At 41.2% G+C, this 24,256-nt stretch overlaps 2 protein-coding genes across 39 annotated transcripts in view, besides 5 other annotated features; one reads left to right on the top strand and one right to left on the bottom strand.

Moving 5' to 3' along the window:
• Window positions 1–907, bottom strand: part of PRIMPOL (primase and DNA directed polymerase) — a 45,215-nt gene extending 44,308 nt beyond the window's left edge. For all 25 annotated transcript variants that reach the window (XR_938701.4, NR_144314.2, NR_144312.2 and 22 more), the window contains exon 1: window positions 737–907. The gene's annotated coding sequence lies outside the window, so the exon portion shown is untranslated. The remainder of the gene's footprint in view (window positions 1–736) is intronic.
• Window positions 891–1,470: a silencer, noted in NCBI's record as "silent region_15841". NCBI's record gives its function as "represses an Ori minimal core promoter by ATAC-STARR-seq in GM12878 lymphoblastoid cells {active_cell/tissue: GM12878}" and the evidence as "EXISTENCE:reporter gene assay evidence [ECO:0000049][PMID:35858748]".
• On the top strand, window positions 1,198–22,949 carry CASP3 (caspase 3). 14 transcript variants are annotated; one of them, NM_001354777.2, is made up of 8 exons: window positions 1,198–1,250; window positions 2,014–2,142; window positions 12,177–12,244; window positions 15,227–15,351; window positions 18,249–18,377; window positions 18,705–18,880; window positions 19,488–19,608; window positions 21,144–22,949. In NM_001354777.2, the coding sequence occupies exons 3-8, from the start codon at window positions 12,192–12,194 to the stop codon at window positions 21,371–21,373; spliced, it is 834 nt and encodes a 277-aa protein (NP_001341706.1). In that variant the 5' UTR covers window positions 1,198–1,250; window positions 2,014–2,142; window positions 12,177–12,191; the 3' UTR covers window positions 21,374–22,949. The 14 variants fall into 14 exon arrangements, with proteins under 14 accessions (NP_001341706.1, NP_001341709.1, NP_004337.2 ...); NM_001354780.2 differs by having other exon boundaries at window positions 2,014–2,180; window positions 15,231–15,351; NM_004346.4 differs by having other exon boundaries at window positions 2,014–2,180.
• Window positions 1,481–1,690: a silencer, noted in NCBI's record as "silent region_15840". NCBI's record gives its function as "represses an Ori minimal core promoter by ATAC-STARR-seq in GM12878 lymphoblastoid cells {active_cell/tissue: GM12878}" and the evidence as "EXISTENCE:reporter gene assay evidence [ECO:0000049][PMID:35858748]".
• Window positions 5,649–6,280: an enhancer, noted in NCBI's record as "OCT4-NANOG-H3K27ac hESC enhancer chr4:185565519-185566150 (GRCh37/hg19 assembly coordinates)". NCBI's record gives its function as "activates a minimal SCP1, AML or CMV promoter by ChIP-STARR-seq in naive and primed H9 embryonic stem cells {active_cell/tissue: H9 hESC(naive and primed)}" and the evidence as "EXISTENCE:reporter gene assay evidence [ECO:0000049][PMID:30033119]".
• Window positions 6,582–7,159: an enhancer, noted in NCBI's record as "OCT4-NANOG-H3K27ac-H3K4me1 hESC enhancer chr4:185564640-185565217 (GRCh37/hg19 assembly coordinates)". NCBI's record gives its function as "activates a minimal SCP1, AML or CMV promoter by ChIP-STARR-seq in primed H9 embryonic stem cells {active_cell/tissue: H9 hESC(primed)}" and the evidence as "EXISTENCE:reporter gene assay evidence [ECO:0000049][PMID:30033119]".
• Window positions 7,160–7,738: an enhancer, noted in NCBI's record as "OCT4-NANOG-H3K27ac-H3K4me1 hESC enhancer chr4:185564061-185564639 (GRCh37/hg19 assembly coordinates)". NCBI's record gives its function as "activates a minimal SCP1, AML or CMV promoter by ChIP-STARR-seq in primed H9 embryonic stem cells {active_cell/tissue: H9 hESC(primed)}" and the evidence as "EXISTENCE:reporter gene assay evidence [ECO:0000049][PMID:30033119]".
• Window positions 22,950–24,256: the final 1,307 nt, after the last annotated feature.

Here is a 24,256-nt window from a genome sequence, read left to right as displayed (position 1 = left end):
GACCCAAAATAGGAAGGGGATCGGTAGGGCAGTGTATATAGCACACCATTGACGTAACCATTAATAACTCCATCTTAGGAGAAGACCCCATTTTTACATTTCATAAGGCATTTGCCAACAAGCATACTATACTTTAATAAACAAATAAAAAAATAGTCCGCATCCAGCCAGGTAAGGACACAAACAAGCACTCTCTTCCATTACCAGTTCTCACCACAGGACTCTGTGACTATAAAAGATGGGGCCTTCGGCAGCTCCCAACAGCCGGCTTAATTGACGCCGTCTTTGCAGAAGGACCTCTCGGCCCAAACCAGGCTTCTTTTCCTCTTCTTCACTCCCTCTGGATTGGTTCGTTAATCTCTTTGCCCCATCTCTTTTTCCTCATGATGTTAAATGCTACTTTGTTGTGGGATGCTTAACTTGTAACATTTATATGTGGATTAAGTACACTACTATGATGCGTGAGCGGCTTGAGCCTGTGTGTCAGGCTCTGACTACCCAGTGACCAGCAAGTGCTGAGAACTGCCTCCTTGGGAACTCCACGCAGCTCGTGGCTTTTGTGATCGAAAGAGCGTCCACAGCAGCCTGACATGGTGGAAAACACAGCATGCGTGGACCTGGTTATTTCTAGCCTGGCACCCTGATGACAGGAGGTTAAGGCTTTTGATTTAGGGAGAGAGACCTGAGGGTAACCCAAAGAAAGGCCTCAGGTCATCGCAGAGGAGACAGAAATTACCGGTGGGCGTCCCGGCCTGCTCCTCTTCTTCCCAGAGCTCAAACTGGGCAGCAGGCCTGGCTTTGTCTCCCTTCTAGGTACCCGTTGGGCCTGGCGCGGTTTCCAAGTCTCCCTCAATTTCCCTCCAGAATCCCGCGCTGGGAGCGGAAGCCCGCGGACTCTCAGGAAGACCTAGATTTCAAATCCGGGGCGGGGGAGCCGGGCCGAGCCTCAGGGCGGGACCAAAGCGGGAGGACTGGCGCGGGACGCGAGGGCGGGACCAGGGCGTGAGGACGCGGGGCGCGGGGGCGGGGCGCGCTGCGGTGGGCGGGCGCCTCCTGGGGCCCAGCCTGGGGCTGGGTTCTCGGGCGGGCGGGAGCTAGGGGACGGGCCGCAGCGGAGGCGGCGCGAGGGGCCGACAGGGGCGGGCGGGAGGCGGGGCTGGCGCTGGAGCACATCTCCCGGCGGCGGGCCGCGGAAGCAGTGCAGACGCGGCTCCTAGCGGATGGGTGCTATTGTGAGGCGGTTGTAGAAGGTATGAGGAGGCTGTGCGGTGACTGCCGCCCTCGCTCCGGGCCGTCAGCCCTGCCCCCGCTCCCTGCGTTCTCCCAGGCCCTGCGCCCGCCCGGGTACCTGCCCGGTCTGGAAGGCGGAGTGTTTGTTTTGCCACCTCGCCCGGGCGGGGGCGAGCAGTGAAGCCCGCGGAGCGAGAGACTTGGCCCGGAGGCGGGAGCCTGGGCCGGGGCCGGGGAAGCCAGGCAGCGGGTTAAGGCTTTTGATTTAGGGAGAGGGACCTGGGGGTAACCTAAGGAAAGGCCTCAGGTCATCGGAGGGGAGACCTGGCCCGGGGGCGGGAGGCTGGGCTGGGACCGGGGAGGCCGGGCAGCGCGAGGCCGGGCCGGGGAGGCCAGGCAGCGGGAGGCCTGGCCAGGGGAACCGAGCCCGGGGCCGGGAGGTCGGGCACGGGGCACCGAGCTCCGAGGGCGGGAGACCTGGCGGCCGGCCGAGTGCCGGAAGGCCGGGTCAGGCGGCGGAAGGCAGCGGCAAGCTGGGAAACGGACGGCGCTACCGCCGGCGGAGGAGTGGCCCCGGGAAGCGGTGCTGCGAGGGCTGGGGCGGCCGGGTGCTGACTGTGAGATACTCGCCCTGGGGGCTGATCCTTCCAATTTTGGACGAGGCTTCCGTCTCTGCTGCCTTCCATGCCTGGGGCCTGGATTATCCCGGGTTGACAATGTGGTTTAGCTCTTCCAGAGAGATAGTTGCAGGGTTTAAACTCCAATTCCTTTTCGGCCCTGCAGAGTTTCGTGAGTGCTCGCAGCTCATACCTGTGGCTGTGTATCCGTGGCCACAGCTGGTTGGCGTCGCCTTGAAATCCCAGGCCGTGAGGAGTTAGCGAGCCCTGCTCACACTCGGCGCTCTGGTTTTCGGTGGGTGTGCCCTGCACCTGCCTCTTCCCCCATTCTCAGTAAGTGGCACCCAAGCAGGAAACCGGAAAACATCGTTCGCAGCCCCCTCTCGCCCACCCACTTCTTTTCCTGCTTAGTCGCCAAGCCTTGTCGACCTTGTAAATGTCTGCCAGATCTGTCCGCGTCTCTCTATCTCTGATTTCAGCCGTCTGACCACAGCAGCCTCTTCCCTGGTCTCTCCACTTCCAGACCCGCCTGCTCCTTTGCAGTCCACTTTTTACAGCACAGGCAGAGGGATCTTTATGAAATGAAAGTCTAGAAAGCTCGTCCTTTGCCCTTAGGTTAAACCCAGCACTTAATATGGCTAACAAACCCCTGCGTGTGTTGGGTCCTGAGTGCCCCCACCCCTCCTTATCTTTAGCACCGGTTCGATTTCTGCACGGCAATGCTGACCTTCATACCTAGTGTCTGCCTGCAACACCTCTGCACTCCCTTTCTCCCGCCATCACATTTGATTAGAAGAGCTGCTACTTAAATTTCTGTTTTCATTAAACAGTTTAAGGTTAAATCTTCCTATGCTGTGTTCTTTCTGCAGCCAGCATTCCCTAAGAGAGATGTGTCATATCCTTTGCAGTTGCTTGTTTACTATCTTCCCTGCTAGATTTGCAAGCAAACTCCAGGAGGGACGGACTTGGTTTATCTTGGTATCCTTAGTGTCTTGCCCCAAATGCGGGGCCTGGCATAACACAGTGAATGCCCATCCATTGTATTTTTACTTTTATGCCCTATCTAGAAAAAGTAGACCTGGTTTAGGATTATTCAGCAAATAATAATTAGAAAAGAAATGGTAGAGGTGACATACGGAGTCACTGAAACGATGTAAACCTGCAAGATAGCTGAAAGAGGGCCAGGCAAGGTGGTTAGACCAGACTGTATCAAAATGGGCTCAGCCACTGTGAATGTGCGTGCTGTGGTTACATAATCTCTAAAAATGAAATATAAAGCTTAAATCATCTCTATCACAGCCCGATGCTTGGACTTTGGTTTTGCTTTGCCTTTTTGCAAAAGAAGGTTTTTGAAAGTGAAAATTATTTTAGTGAATGGATGAACAGTTTATTGGAGTATGGCAATAAAACCTGTTCAAAGTAAGAGACATTAGACATTGTACCTAGTTAAATCAGATTTGCTTTTGCTATCCTGAATAAAGGCCTTGCCTCTTGCCATTTGAAGAGACTGGCATCTGATATAGGCAATTATAATGCTTCTTTACTGTTTTGTTTTCAAACCTCGTTTAACACAATCTCCTACTGCTTCATCCCCCTACAAAGCAGTCTTTATTTTGATGAATGATATATTACATTGCTTCTGGTGCCTACTATTAGATCTTTAAGCTCTGCCCCAAAGATAAGAAGCACTGGTGTTTGGGCCTAAACAAAGATGGGAGAATTCTTAGATTTATATAATATTCTTTCTCTGCATGTTTTGTTCTTACCTTCACATGTTGCCTGTAGAGCTTCTTTGCATTACAATAATGAAATCAAGCTACCTGATATGTATTGGACACGGTCTGGCATCTGCCTTGTTGAGCCACTTTTGAATACCAGTGAGCATCGGTATAAGCCCTGAATAGAGATAGGGTTTGTCTCTTCCACTGCTTGATACACTCAGGGTCTAGTATAGTACTCTGCACACAGTTGGTGTTCAGTAAATTGTTATGGTGCAAATATCAAATGAATAAATGCTACTGAATCTGAGTTTTGGCAGTTTCAGTCTTCCTGACAGCAGGATTTCTTCAAGCGGTTTTAAACTTGAATCTGATTCTGCAAAGTAGTCATCCTTGGTGGGAGTGCTGAGGCTTTAAAGTCATCTGTAATTTTTATAAAAAGGCATCCGAGATCCTCCATTTTACACTTATATCATACAAATCATTTAGATCTGTGAAGGCTTTCCCATTTTCTCCTTTTGTCCTTCCAAAAACACCATCTTAGGACTTCACCTGGCACAGGGAAGACAGATCGTTTGCACATACTAAGTGCCCTTCTTTCTAACTTGTGTCATAAACTCAGAGGCTTTGAATAGTGGAGAGTGCTCTGTACTGTCTTCCTGGTCACGTGGCCCTTGCCAGAGGAAAGGAAAGGATGGTTTGTTTGTATAGTACAATGGAACTTATTTCAATGTATTCTGTATTTGATTTTACATTCCTGTTCTCATATTTTTACCTTAATTACATAACAAATATTAAAAGATTGACTTCACCAGGCCCAGTTACAATCGCCAGTTTGATAATTCTTATACGTACTCAAATGAATTCAGAGACCAGATGGGAAAAGATTTTGATAAAACCTCTGGTACATCACAACTGAAGTCTTTTCTTGTCCAAACTATTGTGAAACAGATGTTCTTTCTGTTTCATTTGCTAAATCTGGAAACGTGACTGCTTTTGAGACTTTGTCCTCTCTGACAGGTAATAAATATAATCCTGATATTTTTCAAGTTGTTTGACAGAAGTGTAATCTCCCCAGAAGTCCTGCTGGACAGGCTTCACTTTTCCTTTGGAGGAACACAGAGATACAGGGAATATGTTTTAATGACATATACCTAACGCTGAACATGAAACCAGTTATTTTACTTTTATTATTATTATTTTTAGAAACAGCCTTGCTGTGTCACCCAAGCTCAAGTGCAGTGGTGCGATCATAGCTCACTGCAGCCTCCAATTCCTATGCTCAAGTAATCCTCTTGCCTCAGCCTCCTGAGTAGCTGGGACTACAGGTGTGTGCCACCATGCCAGGCTACTTGTTTTTACTTTGTTATAGAGATGGGGTCTCTCTGTGTTGCCCAGACTGGTCTTGAACACATGATCTCAACCATTCCTCCCACCTTGGCCTCCCAAAGTGCTGGGATTACAGGCGCGAGCCACTGTGTCTGGCCTATTTCACTTTAGAAGTAAATTGAATGCCACATGCGAAGTTTGTTAAATTTTTTTAAAAAAGGAAAGAAAACACAAAAGTAAACTACCTAGTCGCATCAGAAATGCCATAGTCATTTTTGCCATTTTTTCATTCATTAGAATTCAGTGCATTATGTTATTTTGTTATCTCTGCAGTAACTTTCTATCATGTTATTTATTTTCTTTGTCTTATTTAAAGCTTCTGAGATTATGGATTTTTGTTTCCTTCCCTGAAGTTAAGTGTTATCATTCCTATATAGTACTAAGCTGTCTACAGAATAGTGGGAGTCTGCCCTCTTGAGTTGGGAAGATCCTAGTTTGAATCTTGGCTGTGCGACTTTAAAGTTCATTAACTTCTCTTAGCCTCAGTCACCTGAACTCTGCAGTGGGGATCCTTATGCCTCAGAGTGTCATTGGGAGGACTCACGAAAATACGCTTGTACTTTGAGTTCAGTACCTAGCCTGTATGAGCCAGCATTAAGAGGGACAGTCATCACGCAGCGCTTTGCACACAGCTCTCACGCCACATCCTTTGGCTACTGTTTTGGTAAATCTTTACTAGTAAATGTTTCTTAAAAGCATTTACATTCATGGACATGATTCAGAAACTAACAGTTGTTTTTTAGGTCTCACTTTGAGATTTAAAAACCCTTAGGGCAGAGACCAGATTTTATTTCTTACCTCAGAGTTTCCCTGTAGGACAGGAACCAGCAACAGCCTAATGAGCTGATTAAGAATTTTAGAGATTTAAAATTTAAATTAGGATTGCCAGTTTTAGAGACTGGCACATAAATGTTTTCATTTAAGGCAGTGACTGTTTCCTTTAGGATATGATTTTTTATCTTTCTAAGATGAGATCACCATCCTCAGAATAATTTGTACCCCGCTGGGCACTAGCTAATGGAGGTGATGTCATGCTAAGCAGCACTTCAGTGAGTTTTGCGGGAACCAAAGCTCTGCTCCCAGGAGTGTGGATTTGGTGCTTTCATGTGGAAAAAGCGGATGATGACAAGTAGAGAGCAAATGTGCGCATGTCTGATGCTGTAAGGATTTCCTTTACCATCATATAAATTTTTAAAGTATATCAAAATAAACTGATAACTGAGAAAATATATGTTGTTCAGATACTAATAATGAAGTTAATGAAGTCCACTATAGTATTTGTCCCTGAGAAATCTTTATCAAATATTTTAAATCCTATTGTAAAATAATGTATTTTTTCTTTCAGTTTTAGAGACTGGCAATCCTAATTTAACATCTCCTTTTGAATTCCCCACCACAGGCACACTTTCACACATTCACTCTTTAATAACAGGTTGTTTCAAATTGTTAATACTTTATAGCTTAATATAGAAATTTCACTTTAGAAATTAATTTTTATTTCTCTGCCTTAATGCTATAGATGTTGTAGTCTGCTTTACTTCAGTATTGTAATGAGTAGTTGGCTAACCACCATGTAAATAGGGAGAACATTCTAGTTTTTTACTTGTGTAGGAAAACACAGCTTGAAATGTCTAAGTATCTATTTTAGAGTGAAGTAAATTTATACTGACAATATTTTTTTGTGTTTGAAGACCTGACTGTTACAGCGTTGGTGGCAAGTGTTAAGGGATCCAGGAACTAGACAAGTGATTCTGAGACCTGAGTTCCAGGTTTCTAAGTAATATCAGTTGGTCTACTGAGAACTTTGCCATAAACATATGTGTTCAGAAATTTCCTTTCTTAGCAGCAGCATCCTGAATTGAACAGAATTACACACACATCAGCCCAGTAAGAAACAATTCATGTTAAGTCCATTGCTATGCCAGGATAAATCTTTTAAATCACAATTATTTTTCCTATTTATATTTTGTCAAATAAGAATGTTCTAAAAACCAAAATTTCTGTTTTCTTTTTTTTTTTTTTTTTTTTTTGAGACGGAGTCTCACTCTGTCGCCCAGGCTGGAGTGCAGTGGCGCGATCTCGGCTCACGGCAAGCTCCACCTCCCGGGTTCACGCCATTCTCCTGCCTCAGCCTCCTGAGTAGCTGGGACTACAGGCACCCACCACCACGCCTGGCTAATTTTTTATATTTTTAGTAGAGACGGGGTTTCACCGTGTTAGCCAGGATGGTCTTGATCTCCCGAACTTGTGATCCGCCCGCCTCGGCCTCCCAAAGTGCTGGGATTACAGGCAAAATTTCTGTTTTCATTTAAGGCAGTGACTATTTCCCTTAGGATGTGATTTTTTTATCCTTCTAAGATGAGATCACCATCCTCAGAATAATTTGTACCCTGCTGGGCACTAGCTAATGGAGGTGATGTCATGCTAAGCAGCACTTCAGTGAGTTTTGCGGGAACCAAAGCTCTGCTCCCAGGAGTGTGGATTTGGTGCTTTCATGTGGAAAAAGCGGATGATGACAAGTAGAGAGCAAATGTGCGCATGTCTGATGCTGTAAGGATTTCATCTACCATCATATAAATTTTTAGAAGTATATCAAAATAAACTGATAACTGAGGCAATGTATGTTGTTCAGATACTAATAATGAAGTTAATGAAGTCCACTATAGTATTTGTATAGTATTTGTATATTACAGTACTCTGAAAAGCTGGTCACTATTTAAAGTTTCCATTACCAGTCACAAGGAGAGAATAATTTTATCCCACAATTTTATTGCTGGCAAAAGACACAAGTTTATTAAAAGTCAGTATTTCAGTGTAAGAGTTACTAGACTGTTTGCAGAAGTGTTCAAAAGAGATCTTTAGGTCCTTGGTTGTCTGTGGAAGCTGATCAGCATTTAGGGGTTCCTGAGCACAGACTGTGAACCCTGCATTTGGCACATGCATTCAGAGAGCCAATTTGAGGCAGACTGGGGGCTAGAAAGGATACTGCCAGGAGCTCCAGGTTCAGCTTCCGAAGTTATTAAGTCTTATTTCCCAGTTTTTAAATTAGACTTCATTTTTTAGAGCAGTTTTAGGTTCAAACCAAAATTGAGAAGAACGTACAGAGACATCCTGTATCCCACCTGCCCCCCAACACGTGCGTAGTCTCCCCCATTATCAACATCCTGCACCAGAGTAGTACATTCTTACAAAGGAACCTACACTGACACGTCATCATCACCCAAACGCCATCGTTCACAATCAAGTTCACTCTTGGTGCTGTTTATCCTATGGTTTTGGACAAATTTACAAGGACTTGTATCCACCATTATATTGTCACACTGAGTAGTTTCACTGCCTTAAAAAGTCTCCGTGCGGGCCGGGCACGGTGGCTCACGCCTGTAATCCCAGCACTTTGGGAGGCCAAGGCGGGCAGATCACGAGGTTAGGAGTTCGAGACCAGCCTGGCCAACATGGTGAAACCCCGTCTCTACTAAAAATACAAAAATTAGCCTGGCATGGTGGCATGCGCCTGTAATCCCAGCTACTCAGGAGGCTGAGGCAGGAGAATCGCTTGAAACCTAAAGGCGGAGGTTGCAGTGAGCCGAGACCACGCCACTGCACTCCAGCCTGAGCAAGGAGCGAAATTCCATCTCAAAACAAAAAAAAAAAAAAAAAAAAATTCTCTGTGCTGTCTCCCTCCCTCCTAGCCACTGGCAACCACTGATCTTTTTACTGTCTCCATAGTTTTGCCTTTTCCAGATTGTCAGATAGTTGGAATCATGCGGTATATATGGCCTTTTCAAACTGGCTTCTTTCACTTAGTAATAATGCATTTAAAGTGTTCATGGCTTGCTAGCTCATTTCTTTTTAGTGCTCAGTAATATTCTGTTCTCTGGATATACCACGGTTTATTTATTCATTCACCGACTGAAGGACATCTTAGTTGCTTCTAGTTTTGACAGTTATGAATAAAACTGCTATAAACATCTGTGTGCAGGCTTTTGTGTGAACATAAGTTTTCAACTCCTTTGGGTAAATACCAAAGAGTGCGTATTTACCATATGGCTGGATCATATGGTAAGAGTATGTTTAGTTTTGTAGGAAACTGCCAAACTGTCTTTCGAGTTGGCTGTACCATTTTGCATTTCCACGAGCAGTGATTGAGAATCCCTGTTGCTCCACATCCTCACCAGCATTTGGTGTTGATGGTGTTCTGGTTTTGGCCATTCTGCTAGGTATGTAATGATACCTCATTGTTGCTTTAATTAGCATTTCCCATTATTTGCAGTCTGTGTATCTTTGATGAGGCCCACTGGATTTTCACTTTAGATTTTCTATAGATTGGCCATAAAGTCTTGAAACAAAGATATTTTCTCATGGATTATAATGCAATATCAGTAAACTATTATGTGTTCACCTACGTTTCCAGACTTGTTAGCTACCCTGTACTGTTCTCTCAGTTAATCAAGTTAACCACAATTTGTTTCTCAACCACAGGTGGCTAATGATTTTGTATGTGGTCTGTCCGCTTTGAATTGATGTGCATGGGGCAAGTTGGTCTCTATGATATTCATGGTTCAAGGAAGTTCGAGATTTCCTGGTACCTAATACATGTTTATTGTACATATGAAAGAAAAAAGGGCAGATAGAGGGGAACATGGTACTGAGCATGATAGAGGCAAGGAAGGGTGGCTACTTTGATAGGAGAATACCCCTATTTTTGTCACTCTTGAAACAGGGCCAAGAGTTGAAATTGGCTAGAACAATCCTGACCTTTGTTGATATTATTTTATAGAATAATATTTGTTACTGTTTTCTCACTTTTAAAAAATGCAGATGTTATAGAAAAATTAGAAGATATAGAGGAATGTTAAGGAGTAAATAAGGTGTCAGTAATGCCATCACCCAGACAGCCACTGTTAATAAATATGTTAATATGTGAAGACATACTAATATGTAATATGTACTGAGTGACTAATGGCAGGTCACTTAGTAGCTGTCTCGATTATCAGATCAACTGTCATGGTATGGCAGTGTTTATGTTCAGGTACCCGTATTAGTTATTGTTGTTAATCCCTTTCTGCGCCCAAGTTATAAACTAAACTTTTTCATAGGTATGTACGTATAGGAAAAAATATGCTGCATATAGGCTCAGTACTGTATTTGGTTTCAAGCATCTACTGGGGGACTTGGGAGGTACCCCCTGCCCCTGCCCCACAGGTATACTACTGTATAATTATTCTTCTATCTAAAGTAAGATCTAATGGAAGATAGGAACTTTGTCTTGTCTTCCACTCTGTCCTATTTCCCAGGATGATACCTGGCACAAAGTATTTGTTTACTGACAAACTAAAAGATGATTTATCCCAATTATACTCACATCTTCCCTTGATTTTCCAGAAAGCCTACAGGAAGTAAGATGGTAGAAAAGCAAAGTCTTCGTAGAAATGCAGAGCATAGACTGGCTCTTGGAGAAGGTCAAACATCACCCTCTCCTGTGGTTAAATTGAGATGGTGGCACTGGCTGTCTTCTATATTATTGCTGCACCTTTCCTCACCAGGGGTGCACACAAAACTGGGAGAGAGGGGAGGAAGGAGCTTAGCTTTGTCTTAATAGAAGGGAAGAAATGATGTTTTCCAAGAGACCTTGAAATTGGGGACCTTGGTAAAGGTTTCAGTTTGGGAAGATAAAAAAGTCCTGGGATGGATTCCAACAGTGTAACTGTACTCAATGCCACTGAGCTGTACGCTTAAGAGTGGTAAATTTTATGTCTATTTCACCACAGTTTTAAAGATTAAAATTTTTAAAAGTGGGGGAAGTTACCTAGGACTTTCTAGAAGGACTTTTGAGGGTGAGCAAGTTCTGTTATAGGCTTGTGTATTATTTTGGTATTTCTGATTTTATCATAGGAGTGAGGTTAAAGTTGTATTTTGACTGGAATTTTTGACATTGTCAGGGTTTCTAGAGTGTGGAGAAGGTCACTCAGTATTTTTTGTTTTTGTTTTTTGTTTTGCCTTTGTTCTTGTTTTCCTCTATTTAGGGAGGTGGATTGCCATGGGAAGTACCTTTGCTTCGAAAAGCCAGAAAATGCCTGGTAGAACTCCAGAAAAGTAGTAAGGAGCTGGCTTCTTCAGAGGCAGCATAGCAGAGTGGGAAGAGGGCCCTGTCACTTAGATTGTGACTGTCGACAAAGTCACTTAACCACCAGAAGTTGGGTTTTCTGACGTTTAGAATTTTGAAAAGATTAAAACTGAGTGCCTTGCAAAGTACCTGGTATATATTAAGTGCTCAATAAGTGATAGTTGCTTTGATTCTAAGAACTGGTTCACCTTGTGAGATATAATTGTGTAATGGAAGAATGAAAGCAGAAACTTTAGTTTCTACTTTTACATTTCCTGGGCCATTTTACTACCCTAAATGAGAAGCTGGGCTTCCAAAACCCACTTTAAAAGTAAAGACTAGGCCGGGTGCGGTGGCTCTTGCCTGTAATCCCAGCACTTTAGGAGGCCTAGGTGGGCAGATCACTTGAACTCAGGAGTTTGAGACCAGCCTGGGCAATACAGCGAGACCGTATGTCTACAAAAAATACAAAAATTAGCCAGACATGGTGGTGCATGCCTGTAATCCCAGCTACTCGGGAGGCTGAGGCGGGAGAATTTGAGTCCAGGAGATCGAAGCTGCAGTGAGCCGTGATTGCGCCGCTGCCCTCCAGCCTGGGTGACAGAGTGAGACCCTGCCTCAAAAGAAAAAAAAAAAAAGAATAAAGATTAATGGAGATTTGGAACATCTTGATACTGTATCTTGGGAATCTAAGCATTGTAGAATTGTGTTATGTGAGTTATACCATTGTGGTGGGAAGTTTTTGATTTTTGTTTTAACTGTGTTGAGTTGCAGTTCTTAGAAATGACCCGAGGTGTTGTCTTACAAAAGAAATAAACTGTAATCTGTATCTTGATCTGATGAGGGTATGTAAATATAAAAAATCGAGCTGTATACTTTCTATATGCTTTATGTAGTTCACTATATATAATTCATAGCTCAATTAAAAAGAGAGAGAGAGGCTAAATTGTATGTACCATTGCAAAGAAATCATTATCCCCAGAACTGACTCACATACACCTTTAACAGTAGAGGGAGAACTGAGGTATTAATTTGGAAAAATAATCACTGGGATAATTAATATAATGCAGTGGTTTTATGACTGATTTTTTATTAACTTCTATTTTCTTTGTATTCTAGTTAATAAAGGTATCCATGGAGAACACTGAAAACTCAGTGGATTCAAAATCCATTAAAAATTTGGAACCGTGAGTATTTAAATTGAATTCTTTATAATCAGAGAAAGATGGGGATGTGTAATAAGCAAACCTCGAGCAGTGGGGCAAGAGGAAAGAGAGTGGTCTCTCTCTCAGGCCAGAGAGACCAAGTGACTTCCTACCTCAGACAGCTGTGTGGCTTTGCATAAACTGACTTTTCTTCTCTGAACCTCGTCTTTAACATGGGGCTAAAACTTTCACAGAACTGAAGGGAAGATGAAAGGAAAGGCCTAGTAGGGTGTGTGACCCATAGTTGGAAACCTAGTCCTGGAACCAAAAGGACACCACAGGAGAGGCAGGACTCCCAAGCGCCGGTGCTTTCTACCCTCCCGAATCGCTCTATAGGATTAGAGGGTTTAGGTTTGGGAGGAGTTTCTTGACCTCTTGTTTATGAGTTTTTACGACTAAAATGCAATGCCAGTTTTCAGTCCGGGGACAAACTGCCTAGTTATGGATGAATTTTACCCTTTTTTTCCCCGTGTCTTTTTGGAATATTCTGCTTATTAATGCTTCCAATAACTAGCAGATGGAAAAAGGAAAAAGATAAAACTCAAATTCACTTTTTAATTCTTGTCTGTTATTATTTATTTGGGATCTCTCGTAATACTTTAAATTCTGAAAGTTTATTTCTGAAACCCAGTATTGTTATTCTCGGCTGCCCTGAATATTACAAACTAATTTTATTACTAAACAATATGATTACAGAAATACTATTAACAAGTTACCACTAAAGATTTCACAATTTTGTTTAGCAAAGGGATTTTTCTAGAAAGTAAACTTTTAAAATGCAGTCCCATTTTAGAGAGTTGTTGCTGTCATTTAAATCATTTTAGCCAGTGCAGTGGCTTGCTCCTGTAATCCCAGCTACGTGGGAGCTGTGGCAGGAGGATCACTTGAGGTGGAGAGTTTGAAACCAGCCTGGGCAACATAACGAGACCCTGTCTCTACAAAAAAACAAAAAACAATTAGTCCACCATAGTGTGTGTGCTTGTAGTCAGTCCTAGCTACACGCCAGAGGTTACAGTGAAGTAAGACCCCATCTCTTCAAAAAAATCCTTTGAAAGTGATTTACACATTTTCCTACTATTTTTTTTTTCTTTCTTTTTTGAGACAGGCTGGAGTGCAGTGATCTGATTATGGCTCACTGCACTCCTGGGCTCCAGTAATCCTCCTGAGTAGCTAGGACTACAGACATGTGCCACCATGCCTGGTTATTTTTGTTTTTTATTTTTGTAGAGATGGGGGTCTTGCTGTGTTGCCCAGGCTGGTCTCCAATGCCTGGCCTCAAGGGATCCTCCTGCCTCGGCCTCCCAAAGTGCTGGGAGTACAGGTGTGAACCACCCTGCCTGGCCCTACCTTTTCATGTCATGCAGAACACCACTTCAATAACAAGTTGCACGGAAGCCCCAGACAGGTTTAGGGTTGTTTCGATCCTTTGGTAAGTTGCCCTCACAGTCCCGGCTTTCACAGCCTCTGCCTTTTATTAGGAGTATCCCCTCGTGGACTAGCTATCATATGCTTGTAAAGTACCTACCTCCTTAGGAGGCACCCAGAGCACGTGGGGAAGGGGTGTCGGGAGCTGGGAGTCATAAGTCCCATGATCCATCATCTGTAGGACTCAAAGGTCAAGTCACGCTTTCAGGATTTAACTTCAGTCTGTAAATGTGAGGCTGTTCACCTCTGGTTAAAAATCATAACTGTTTTCTCACGTTGACTCCTTTAATTTACTACATTTAATCTTTTTCCAACAGTATTTTTGGAATTGTGTATAATGTGAGATGCTCTTAAGGTTAAGTGCATGAGTATATGGACTGTAGGTGTTAGTGTTTGGTAGTTCCTAGACCTGTTTTTGCCTGACTCTTGGTCTAGATCAGGGATCAAGCTTAAGGCCTGTTTTTATCAACTTTCGTTGGAATATAGGCACATCCATTCGCTTACATATTGTCCTAAGCCCGTTTCACCAGTATAATTGAGCAGCTATGGCTGGGCACAGTGGCTCACAACTGTAATCCCAGCACTTTTGGAGGCCAAGGCAGGAGGATCACTTGAGGCCAGGAGTTCAAGACTAGCCTGGGCAACATAGCGAGATCCTGTCTCTAAAAAAGAAAATACAGAAATTAGCTGGGCATGGTGGGGCATGCCTGTCTGTAGTCCTAGCTACTCAGAAGGCTGAGGAAGGAGTATCACTGGAGCCCAAGAGTTCAAAGTTGCAGTGAGCTATGATGGCACCACTGCACTCCAGCTTGGGTGACAGAGCCAGACCATGTCTCAAAAAAAAAAAAAAAAGAATAGAATTGAGTAGCTGTAACAGAAACCAGATGGCCCACAAGCCTAAAACACTTAATATTTAGCCCATTAAAAAAAAAGTTTACTGACCCCAATCTAGATAGCAGAGGTTTTTTTAGATAAGTGACTTCCAGACAGATATTTTCAATTATTTACAATAATGCTTTTATATATTAATAAATTACTAATTTGTTTAGCTCATGGGGTTTAAGGAATAATTTATGAATTGTGATAAATATTGTGCTTTGAGTTATATTTGCATTTTGTTGATTTCCCATCATTTCAGGGTAATTTTTAAGATTTTTACTCTTACCTCAAAGGATAAAATATTTCACAAAGTTAATAAGTAATTTTTAAATTATAAAGGTATTTGATGAAATTTTGAAGAATTTAGAGGAAAATGTAAAACATGGAAGTTAAAAGCCTGAACTCTGAAGTCCAACAGATGCTTTCCTTCCTTCTTGGCTGTGACACAATATTTGCATAACCTTTAGCACATTACTTAGCCTCACGTCAGGTCATTTTCTCATCTGTATAACTGTTGATGTGAAATTGAAATGAAGACAGCCTGGTTTATAACATTCAACAAGTGTTAACTGTTACTGTGAGTTATAAAAATTGCACTAATATAAACAGAAGGCGTGGTCATTTCTACCTTTGTAAAGCTATTATTTGATTTCTAAACAGAAAGATCATACATGGAAGCGAATCAATGGACTCTGGAATATCCCTGGACAACAGTTATAAAATGGATTATCCTGAGATGGGTTTATGTATAATAATTAATAATAAGAATTTTCATAAAAGCACTGGTATGTGTCTTACATAATTTTTAATCCTTTTCAAATGTTTGTGCCATTTACATTTGATATAATATTAAAAGCAGTATTATTGAGGTATTAGACAGTAAACCGTGACACAGACTAGCTGTGAAGTAGAGATTGGGCAGGACCTACAGGTCCTCTGATACACTGTGAACGCGTCACTCTTCTGCCCAACTTCATAGCCTCCTCTTGCTGGCCTCCTATCTGTATGCTTGGTTGCCTCTGCCCTGACTTCTCTGTAGCCCTTGCTTCTTTTTCTTCTTTCTGCTTCCTCTTTGATCCCAATGGAAGGTTCTCAAAAAAACAGTTAAGTGGTAGTATTTATTTTTTCCCCAGAAACTGCAAGAGATATCACAAGCATTGCCTTATTTAATTTATGACAACCTGGAAAGTAACGATGAGATTCTGAAAGGTTAAAGACCTCGCGCAGTCACACAGTATGGCGGCAGAGCTAGGTCTGTGTGGCTCCAAAGCCCAAGCTCTGAATCCATCTTCTGTTCTGCTTCACTTCCTTGTATCCTCATGTGCTCTGTTGCCTGTCTTCCCTTACCCTACGAAGCTCCCCATCTTAGAGAGACCTTTCTTTTACTCTGTTCCTTTTGATTCCTTTGATATTTTGTCTCCTTCCCTTCTTCCTTAAATTTTGAATACATGTAGTTTAAGCTTGTACTCTTCATTTGTTTCCATTCCTTCTTGAGTCTTTTTCCATTTTCTGTCTCTACTACTAAAACTGCTTGCTTTAAATTTACCATGGCCTTGCCACCAGATCCCCCTCTCGATTTCTGTACTATGTACAACTTGAATGTAGTACTACATTTGAGAATGTTTTTTTAGAAATATAGATAATAAAATCCTTCACAGTGCCAAAAAAGCTAATTAATATTTGGTGTATTGTTATTTTTTCTTGGCAGTTCTTTTTAAAGCTTGATTTTATTCATAACGTATAAGCAATGTTGTCTTCTGCTTGTTTCACTTAAAGGAATAGCATTTTTCATATTGCTGCATAATTTTCATATCTGTTATAATGATTATATAATACTGCATCCCCAAAACTACCATTCACTTAATTTGAATAATTTACTGTATGAATGAACATTATGGCTGTTTCCCTTTTAAATTGATGCTATGATAATTCTTTGAATTGGCCTATTAATCATATTAGAGTTAATTTTTAATTAGAGAAGCTGTAGTAGATCTAAGGTGGGCCAGTACCTATCAGAGTGGTGGTGGAAATGGAAGGAAGCCAGATTACACTGGGAAGATAGCAGGGTTTGTGTCAGATTAATTATAAGGAGTGAGAAGAGAATAGTTGAAAATGGAGCTCTAAATGGCATCAGTTTTATTGCTTTTGGCTATAAGTTGAGATGCCACCTTCAACCATTAACTTAAAAACACAACACCTTGTTTACTTTTGCTTTACGCATATTTGAAAATTTACTTCTAGATATTCTGCCTCACATTTCTAGTTAGGATACCTCCTTCCTATAGAATTTTGCACTGTTGGCTCTATTGTTTCAAAAACCAAAAACAAGCATATTATTCCACTACCACCAGCACCTCCCCCCACATATTTAGACCAGCAGTCTGGGTTTTGCCCAGTGAGCTCCTTTCCTACTTTGCAATGTAAAGGTCAGGTTCTCATGAGATCTCTGGCAGGCTGGTGTTGGGCCAGGCGCCATGGCTCACACATGTAATCCCAACACTTTGGGAGGCCAAGGCAGGAGGATCCTTGAGCACCAAAGTTCAAGATCAGTCTGGGCAACACAGGGAAATCCCATCTCTACAAAACAGAAAAAAGGTAGCAGGGTGTGGTGGTGCGCACCTGTAGTCCCAGCTACTCGGGAGGCTGAGGTGGGAAGATAGCTTGAATCTGGGAGGTTGAGGCTGCAGTGAGCTGTGGTTGCTGTACTCTAGCCTGGGCCACAGAGCAAGATCCTGTCTAAAAAATAAAAATAAATAAAAATTAAAAGGCAGCCAACACATCAGCACCAGAAGCCAGTGACCTTGTCACACAGCTGAGATAATCAACAACATTTTGGAGATACATGTAGACTTTCTGTATTTAATCTTCATACCCATCAAATTTACTCAATTCTGAGGGATGTTTCCCACCAAGATTTAGCATTTTGAAATCTGAGTGCATCATGCAGTCAATCTGTACGTTAATGTGGAAGGTTCTCTAAAGGAGTGGTAGAAAGCCCAGGAGCCCTGGATACAGGCCCAGCATAGCTTTGTCACTTTGGACTGGTTTGTTAACTCTGCTACATGTCCCACATCTGCACAAGTGAAACTAGTAATAATATGACTCTCATGGTGATTGGAAGGATTAGAGATTAGCCATAGCAGAATACCTGATGAACAGTAATAATGTTTGGGGGTTTTCCTTGAAGGCACTATAAATGTTGTAATGCTATCTTAAAATTGTTGGGAAGTTAGAGTCAGAGAAACGCATTTCCTCTGAGTGTGACAGATGTGTGTATGTATTATAGGATCGTATTGTTTTCTAGTCTTATTTTTTTAAACTGATGATTTTCCCATGGCAACATTTTATCTGTGAAAATGACAACATAGTATATCCCATTATATAAGTTAGTATAGCTTGTCTAACCAAACCCTTATTGTTAGACATTTGTGTTTTTCACTACCTAAACCGCTGTGAAAGACATCATTTTGGCTATAACACTGATGAGCTTATATTATGAAGTATCTTATAAGCTACAAAATTGAAGAAATTTTGTTCACCATGTTCAAAATAGTTAGAATTCTCTTACCATTTAAAAGGAAGAATTTATTGTGGACTTCTGAATTGCTGAGTAGTTAATTTCATTTCAAAGTAGTTATTCTTTGTTTTCCATACAATTAAAAGTAATTCTTTCTGTTCCAAGGAATGACATCTCGGTCTGGTACAGATGTCGATGCAGCAAACCTCAGGGAAACATTCAGAAACTTGAAATATGAAGTCAGGAATAAAAATGATCTTACACGTGAAGAAATTGTGGAATTGATGCGTGATGGTAAGAAGAAACAATTAGAATGAACTTCATTGTACAATTAATTTTATACTATGGTCTAGCAATAATTATATGTATAATAAAATATGAGAATTGTGGAATTATACTGTACATAACCCTAATCTTACATACTTTAGTAAGAAGTTTAAAAAAAGTTATTTATGCCAACTTCCTAAAATGGTTTGAGATGTGTTGCCGTGCCCCAGGTTAGGTTAAGATGACCTCTTAGTTTTAGTCTCAGTTTCTTCATCATGTTCCCATACAGTATATCTGAAGTTGTTGAATAAAGTCATGGATTTTTTTTCCTTTTATTTGCAAATGTCTTTACAGTTTCTAAAGAAGATCACAGCAAAAGGAGCAGTTTTGTTTGTGTGCTTCTGAGCCATGGTGAAGAAGGAATAATTTTTGGAACAAATGGACCTGTTGACCTGAAAAAAATAACAAACTTTTTCAGAGGGGATCGTTGTAGAAGTCTAACTGGAAAACCCAAACTTTTCATTATTCAGGTAATGTCTAACTGAGTGATTTGGTTATTGACGATTAAGCAGGGGTTACTATTCTCAACTGTAAATTATCCAAAGGATAATTTTTTTCCTGAAGCTAATGAACTATTGTTACTTTTCATTTATTTACCACTTAAAAGATATAGAGTAAATTTTAATTTTATACTTATATCAAAAAGACTCAGCATAATTAACATCCTTTTTTTTTTTTTTTTTTTTTTTTTTAGACAGAGTCTTGCTCTGTCGCCCAGGCTGGAGTACAGTGGCGCGATCTCCGCTCACTGCAAGCTCTGCCTCCTGGGTTCACGCCATTCTCCTGCCTCAGCCTCCTGAGTAGCTGGGACTACAGGCGCCTGCCACCAGGCCCAGCTAATTTTTAAATTTTTTTTTAATAGAGACAGGGTTTCACCATGTTAGCCAGGATGGTCTCGATCTCCTGACCTCAAGTCATCCGCCCGCCTTGGCCTCCCAAATTGCTGGGATTAAAGGCGTGAGCCACCGCGCCCGGCCAATTAACATCCATTTTTACATAGCATTTCAATTTTTTAGAACTAAGTTATGTGTTCACACACAAATTTTTATAAATAAATATTTATTTTCTAACACCCAGGCCTGCCGTGGTACAGAACTGGACTGTGGCATTGAGACAGACAGTGGTGTTGATGATGACATGGCGTGTCATAAAATACCAGTGGAGGCCGACTTCTTGTATGCATACTCCACAGCACCTGGTGAGAACGTTACACATAATGAATGTTACATGTGGATTTTAAATGAATTAACTGTGACTGATCATAGAATTATACAATGAAAAGTGTGTTTCAGAGACTGTCAAGATTTTGATATCCCTAAAGATATCAAAACTTGTCTATATTTTAGGGAACCTTCATCAAAGAGAAGTCTCAAAAAGTTGTCTTTAGCCAAAAGTTTGGCTAGAAAATATGCATATATAGCCAGGCACAGTGACTCACGCCTGTAATCCTAGCGCTTTGGGAGGCCGAGGCAGGTGGATCACTTGAGGTCAGGAGTTCAAAACCAGCCTGGCCAACCTCATCTCTACTAAAAATACAGAAAAATTAGCTGGGCATGGTGGCACACGCCTGTAATCCCAGCTACTGGGGAGGCTGAGGCAGGAGAATCGCTTGAACCTGGGAAGCAAAGGTTGCAGTGAGCCAAGATCGCACCACTGCACTTCAGCCTGGGCGACAGAGTGAGACTCCGTCTCAAAGGAAAAAAAGAAAAGAAAATATGCATATGTAGAGTAGACTAGCACGATGTCATTCATTGGACTTTATCAGGTAGATCTCCGCTACTAATATCAGGTAGAATATTACGTGGCAACAGAGGCCAAGTCAGAGCTTCCCCTGCATCTTAGAGAAGAAGAGAGGTACGTTTCTCAGGAGTTATTTGAAAGGTAGTAAATAAAAAAGATAAACATGACTAGTATACAAGAGGATAGATGTGGAGTGGGAGAAAAGAAGGTAAAAAACGATACATGAATGTGCCGTTAACCTCCACGTTTTTACTGTTCTGCTGCACACGTCATCATCTAAATAAACATTTGTGGATTATACCACCATTTACTCACACAGCTAAGGGTGTCGGAGAGTTTGGAAACTTTAGGTAAATGTATTCTTAAGCAGTGTTGCATTTTAAAATATGCTCAATATGGTTTATCTTATCCTCTAGGCATCTTTCCAAGCAAAGTACCTCTAAGTTAAAAGCAATGGGTCTAATAGTTAACCTAGAAAAAAAAGTATGATAAATATACTATTTTCCCTTTTTGGACCAATACTTGGTAGTGTGTTTATTATACTTTATTCAGATGCTCTGTAGACAAGTAGGACACTCAAAGCAATTTGTTTCTTGGCTAAGTCAGTATTAAAATAAGGTGAAATCTGATTGGAACACTGTGCTACTTACAATGATCCTTTTTATACATCTTTACTTTTGCATCTTACCTTCTGCGTGTTTGCTCTTCTTGCCTATTGAAAGGGGAGTCCAGAAAGTAAAACTTTCAATAATTCAGTGTTCGTGAAGCTGGTCCCCGGCCAGCTTTGCTGAAAGCAGGGGGTGTACGCATAGCACACATTCGTCCTTCAGCATCATTTCTTCTGAAACCAAAGGTGTCTTTTTTTTTTTATTTGTATGACTAATAAGACTTATGTAAGTTTATGCTTATTTTTGCCTTTATGACTACATAATAATTTATAGAATCAACTAAAATCAGCTATCCATGGTATTTTGCTTGTATTTTGCCTTTTAGGTTATTATTCTTGGCGAAATTCAAAGGATGGCTCCTGGTTCATCCAGTCGCTTTGTGCCATGCTGAAACAGTATGCCGACAAGCTTGAATTTATGCACATTCTTACCCGGGTTAACCGAAAGGTGGCAACAGAATTTGAGTCCTTTTCCTTTGACGCTACTTTTCATGCAAAGAAACAGATTCCATGTATTGTTTCCATGCTCACAAAAGAACTCTATTTTTATCACTAAAGAAATGGTTGGTTGGTGGTTTTTTTTAGTTTGTATGCCAAGTGAGAAGATGGTATATTTGGTACTGTATTTCCCTCTCATTTTGACCTACTCTCATGCTGCAGAGGGTACTTTAAGACATACTCCTTCCATCAAATAGAACCACTATGAAGCTACCTCAAACTTCCAGTCAGGTAGTTGCAATTGAATTAAATTAGGAATAAATAAAAATGGATACTGGTGCAGTCATTATGAGAGGCAATGATTGTTAATTTACAGCTTTCATGATTAGCAAGTTACAGTGATGCTGTGCTATGAATTTTCAAGTAATTGTGAAAAAGTTAAACATTGAAGTAATGAATTTTTATGATATTCCCCCCACTTAAGACTGTGTATTCTAGTTTTGTCAAACTGTAGAAATGATGATGTGGAAGAACTTAGGCATCTGTGGGCATGGTCAAAGGCTCAAACCTTTATTTTAGAATTGATATACACGGATGACTTAACTGCATTTTTAGACCATTTATCTGGGATTATGGTTTTGTGATGTTTGTCCTGAACACTTTTGTTGTAAAAAAATAATAATAATGTTTAATATTGAGAAAGAAACTAATATTTTATGTGAGAGAAAGTGTGAGCAAACTAACTTGACTTTTAAGGCTAAAACTTAACATTCATAGAGGGGTGGAGTTTTAACTGTAAGGTGCTACAATGCCCCTGGATCTACCAGCATAAATATCTTCTGATTTGTCCCTATGCATATCAGTTGAGCTTCATATACCAGCAATATATCTGAAGAGCTATTATATAAAAACCCCAAACTGTTGATTATTAGCCAGGTAATGTGAATAAATTCTATAGGAACATATGAAAATACAACTTAAATAATAAACAGTGGAATATAAGGAAAGCAATAAATGAATGGGCTGAGCTGCCTGTAACTTGAGAGTAGATGGTTTGAGCCTGAGCAGAGACATGACTCAGCCTGTTCCATGAAGGCAGAGCCATGGACCACGCAGGAAGGGCCTACAGCCCATTTCTCCATACGCACTGGTATGTGTGGATGATGCTGCCAGGGCGCCATCGCCAAGTAAGAAAGTGAAGCAAATCAGAAACTTGTGAAGTGGAAATGTTCTAAAGGTGGTGAGGCAATAAAAATCATAGTACTCTTTGTAGCAAAATTCTTAAGTATGTTATTTTCTGTTGAAGTTTACAATCAAAGGAAAATAGTAATGTTTTATACTGTTTACTGAAAGAAAAAGACCTATGAGCACATAGGACTCTAGACGGCATCCAGCCGGAGGCCAGAGCTGAGCCCTCAGCCCGGGAGGCAGGCTCCAGGCCTCAGCAGGTGCGGAGCCGTCACTGCACCAAGTCTCACTGGCTGTCAGTATGACATTTCACGGGAGATTTCTTGTTGCTCAAAAAATGAGCTCGCATTTGTCAATGACAGTTTCTTTTTTCTTACTAGACCTGTAACTTTTGTAAATACACATAGCATGTAATGGTATCTTAAAGTGTGTTTCTATGTGACAATTTTGTACAAATTTGTTATTTTCCATTTTTATTTCAAAATATACATTCAAACTTAAAATTACCAATGTCTTTGAGTTTTTTGTTGCTGTTGTTTTTGATGTTGTGCCACTAATTGGAAGTTAAAATGTTTTTAATCAGAAGCTTGATTTGGAAGAGTCAAAGAGGAAGCACCAGAACCCTAGCCTAGTTTTTTGAGGTGGTGGCAGTTAGATCAGGGCAGACAGATCGCTTATGCTTCCCAAGTCCTCGCAGAAGTTCCTGACCCTGAAATGACCACAATGCCAGGAAGATACTTTGTTTGCATAGATCTCAGGCCTTAAATATGACCATATGTGTGAATTTGAAACTTTTTCCACAAGATAAGTGTCTAATGGGAAGAACAACCTAAGAGGATATACAACAAGCCGTTGATGTTTACTGATGGCCTCCTCTGGGCGCTGGGATTTTGACAGAGGAATTTGCTGTCTTTTTACTTCATATGCTTAGAAAAGGAATATAGGAAAGTGGGGTTGTGGGTGGTTTTAAATTTCTTCCAATATTTCTGTAATGAAAATATATTACTTTTAAATCAGAAACAAAATAAATTGTCCTAACTAGGAAAAGGAGACTTCTGTTTCTGAGGAGTAGAGAGTAGCATAAATGAGTTCTTTAAGGCCATATGAAAGCGGTGGTTCTATAGTGTTGAGGAAAATCTGGCTTATTCTAGTCTCCCTGTTAAGTAAAGAGGTTTCAGATACAAAGGAAAAGACCAGCAACCCAATAGGAAAATGAGCCAAGGACATGAACAAACAGTTCACAGAAAAAAGAAAACCCAAATGTCCCTTAAATTCAATAAACAGCTTGATCTGCATCATAATAAGAGAAATGCACATTAAAGTATCTGTCGTCTATCAGACCGGCAAAAACCCCAGTTTGGTGACATATTCTGTTGGCAAGATGTGGGAAATGTATACTCTCCCGTTGGTGGGAGTATGATACGGTAAAATACTCTGTGGAGGGGAATCTGACAATACCTATCAAATTATTCTTTGAAGTAGCAGTCCCATTTCTTGGAATCCAGCCTACCCATACACCTGTGTGTGTACAAAATTATATATGAGCTTTTCATCACAACGTTGTTTTGGTGTTAAAAAATGGCAGCAACTCAGCTGTGAAGTGTTCCGGGAAGTCAGGGACCCCGAACGGAGGGACCTGCTGAGGCTCTGACAGAGGAACATAAATTGTGAAGATTTCATGAACCTTTATCACTTCCCCAGTCAATACTCTTGTGGTTTCCTATGCCTGTTTTTGCTTTGATCTCTTGGTCCCGTCATCTTCGTAAGCTGAGGATGTCTGTCGCCTCAGGACCCTGTGATGATTGTGTTACCT

The sequence above is a fragment of the Homo sapiens genome, chromosome 4, assembly GCF_000001405.40.
Source record: "Homo sapiens chromosome 4, GRCh38.p14 Primary Assembly".
Lineage (NCBI taxonomy): Eukaryota > Metazoa > Chordata > Mammalia > Primates > Hominidae > Homo > Homo sapiens.
The sequence above is the reverse complement of the archived record's forward strand: the minus strand, read 5'-3'. Positions and strand labels throughout refer to the sequence as shown.

Excerpts from the sequence above, each read along its gene's own strand:
- CASP3 (NM_032991.3), top strand. The coding sequence starts at position 12,192 with ATGGAGAACACTGAAAACTCAGTGGATTCAAAATCCATTAAAAATTTG. Across the intron at positions 12,245-15,226 it reads TCCATTAAAAATTTGGAACC|AAAGATCATACATGGAAGCG; the intron begins GTGAGTATTTAA and ends ATTTCTAAACAG. Across the intron at positions 18,378-18,704 it reads TGTGGAATTGATGCGTGATG|TTTCTAAAGAAGATCACAGC; the intron begins GTAAGAAGAAAC and ends ATGTCTTTACAG.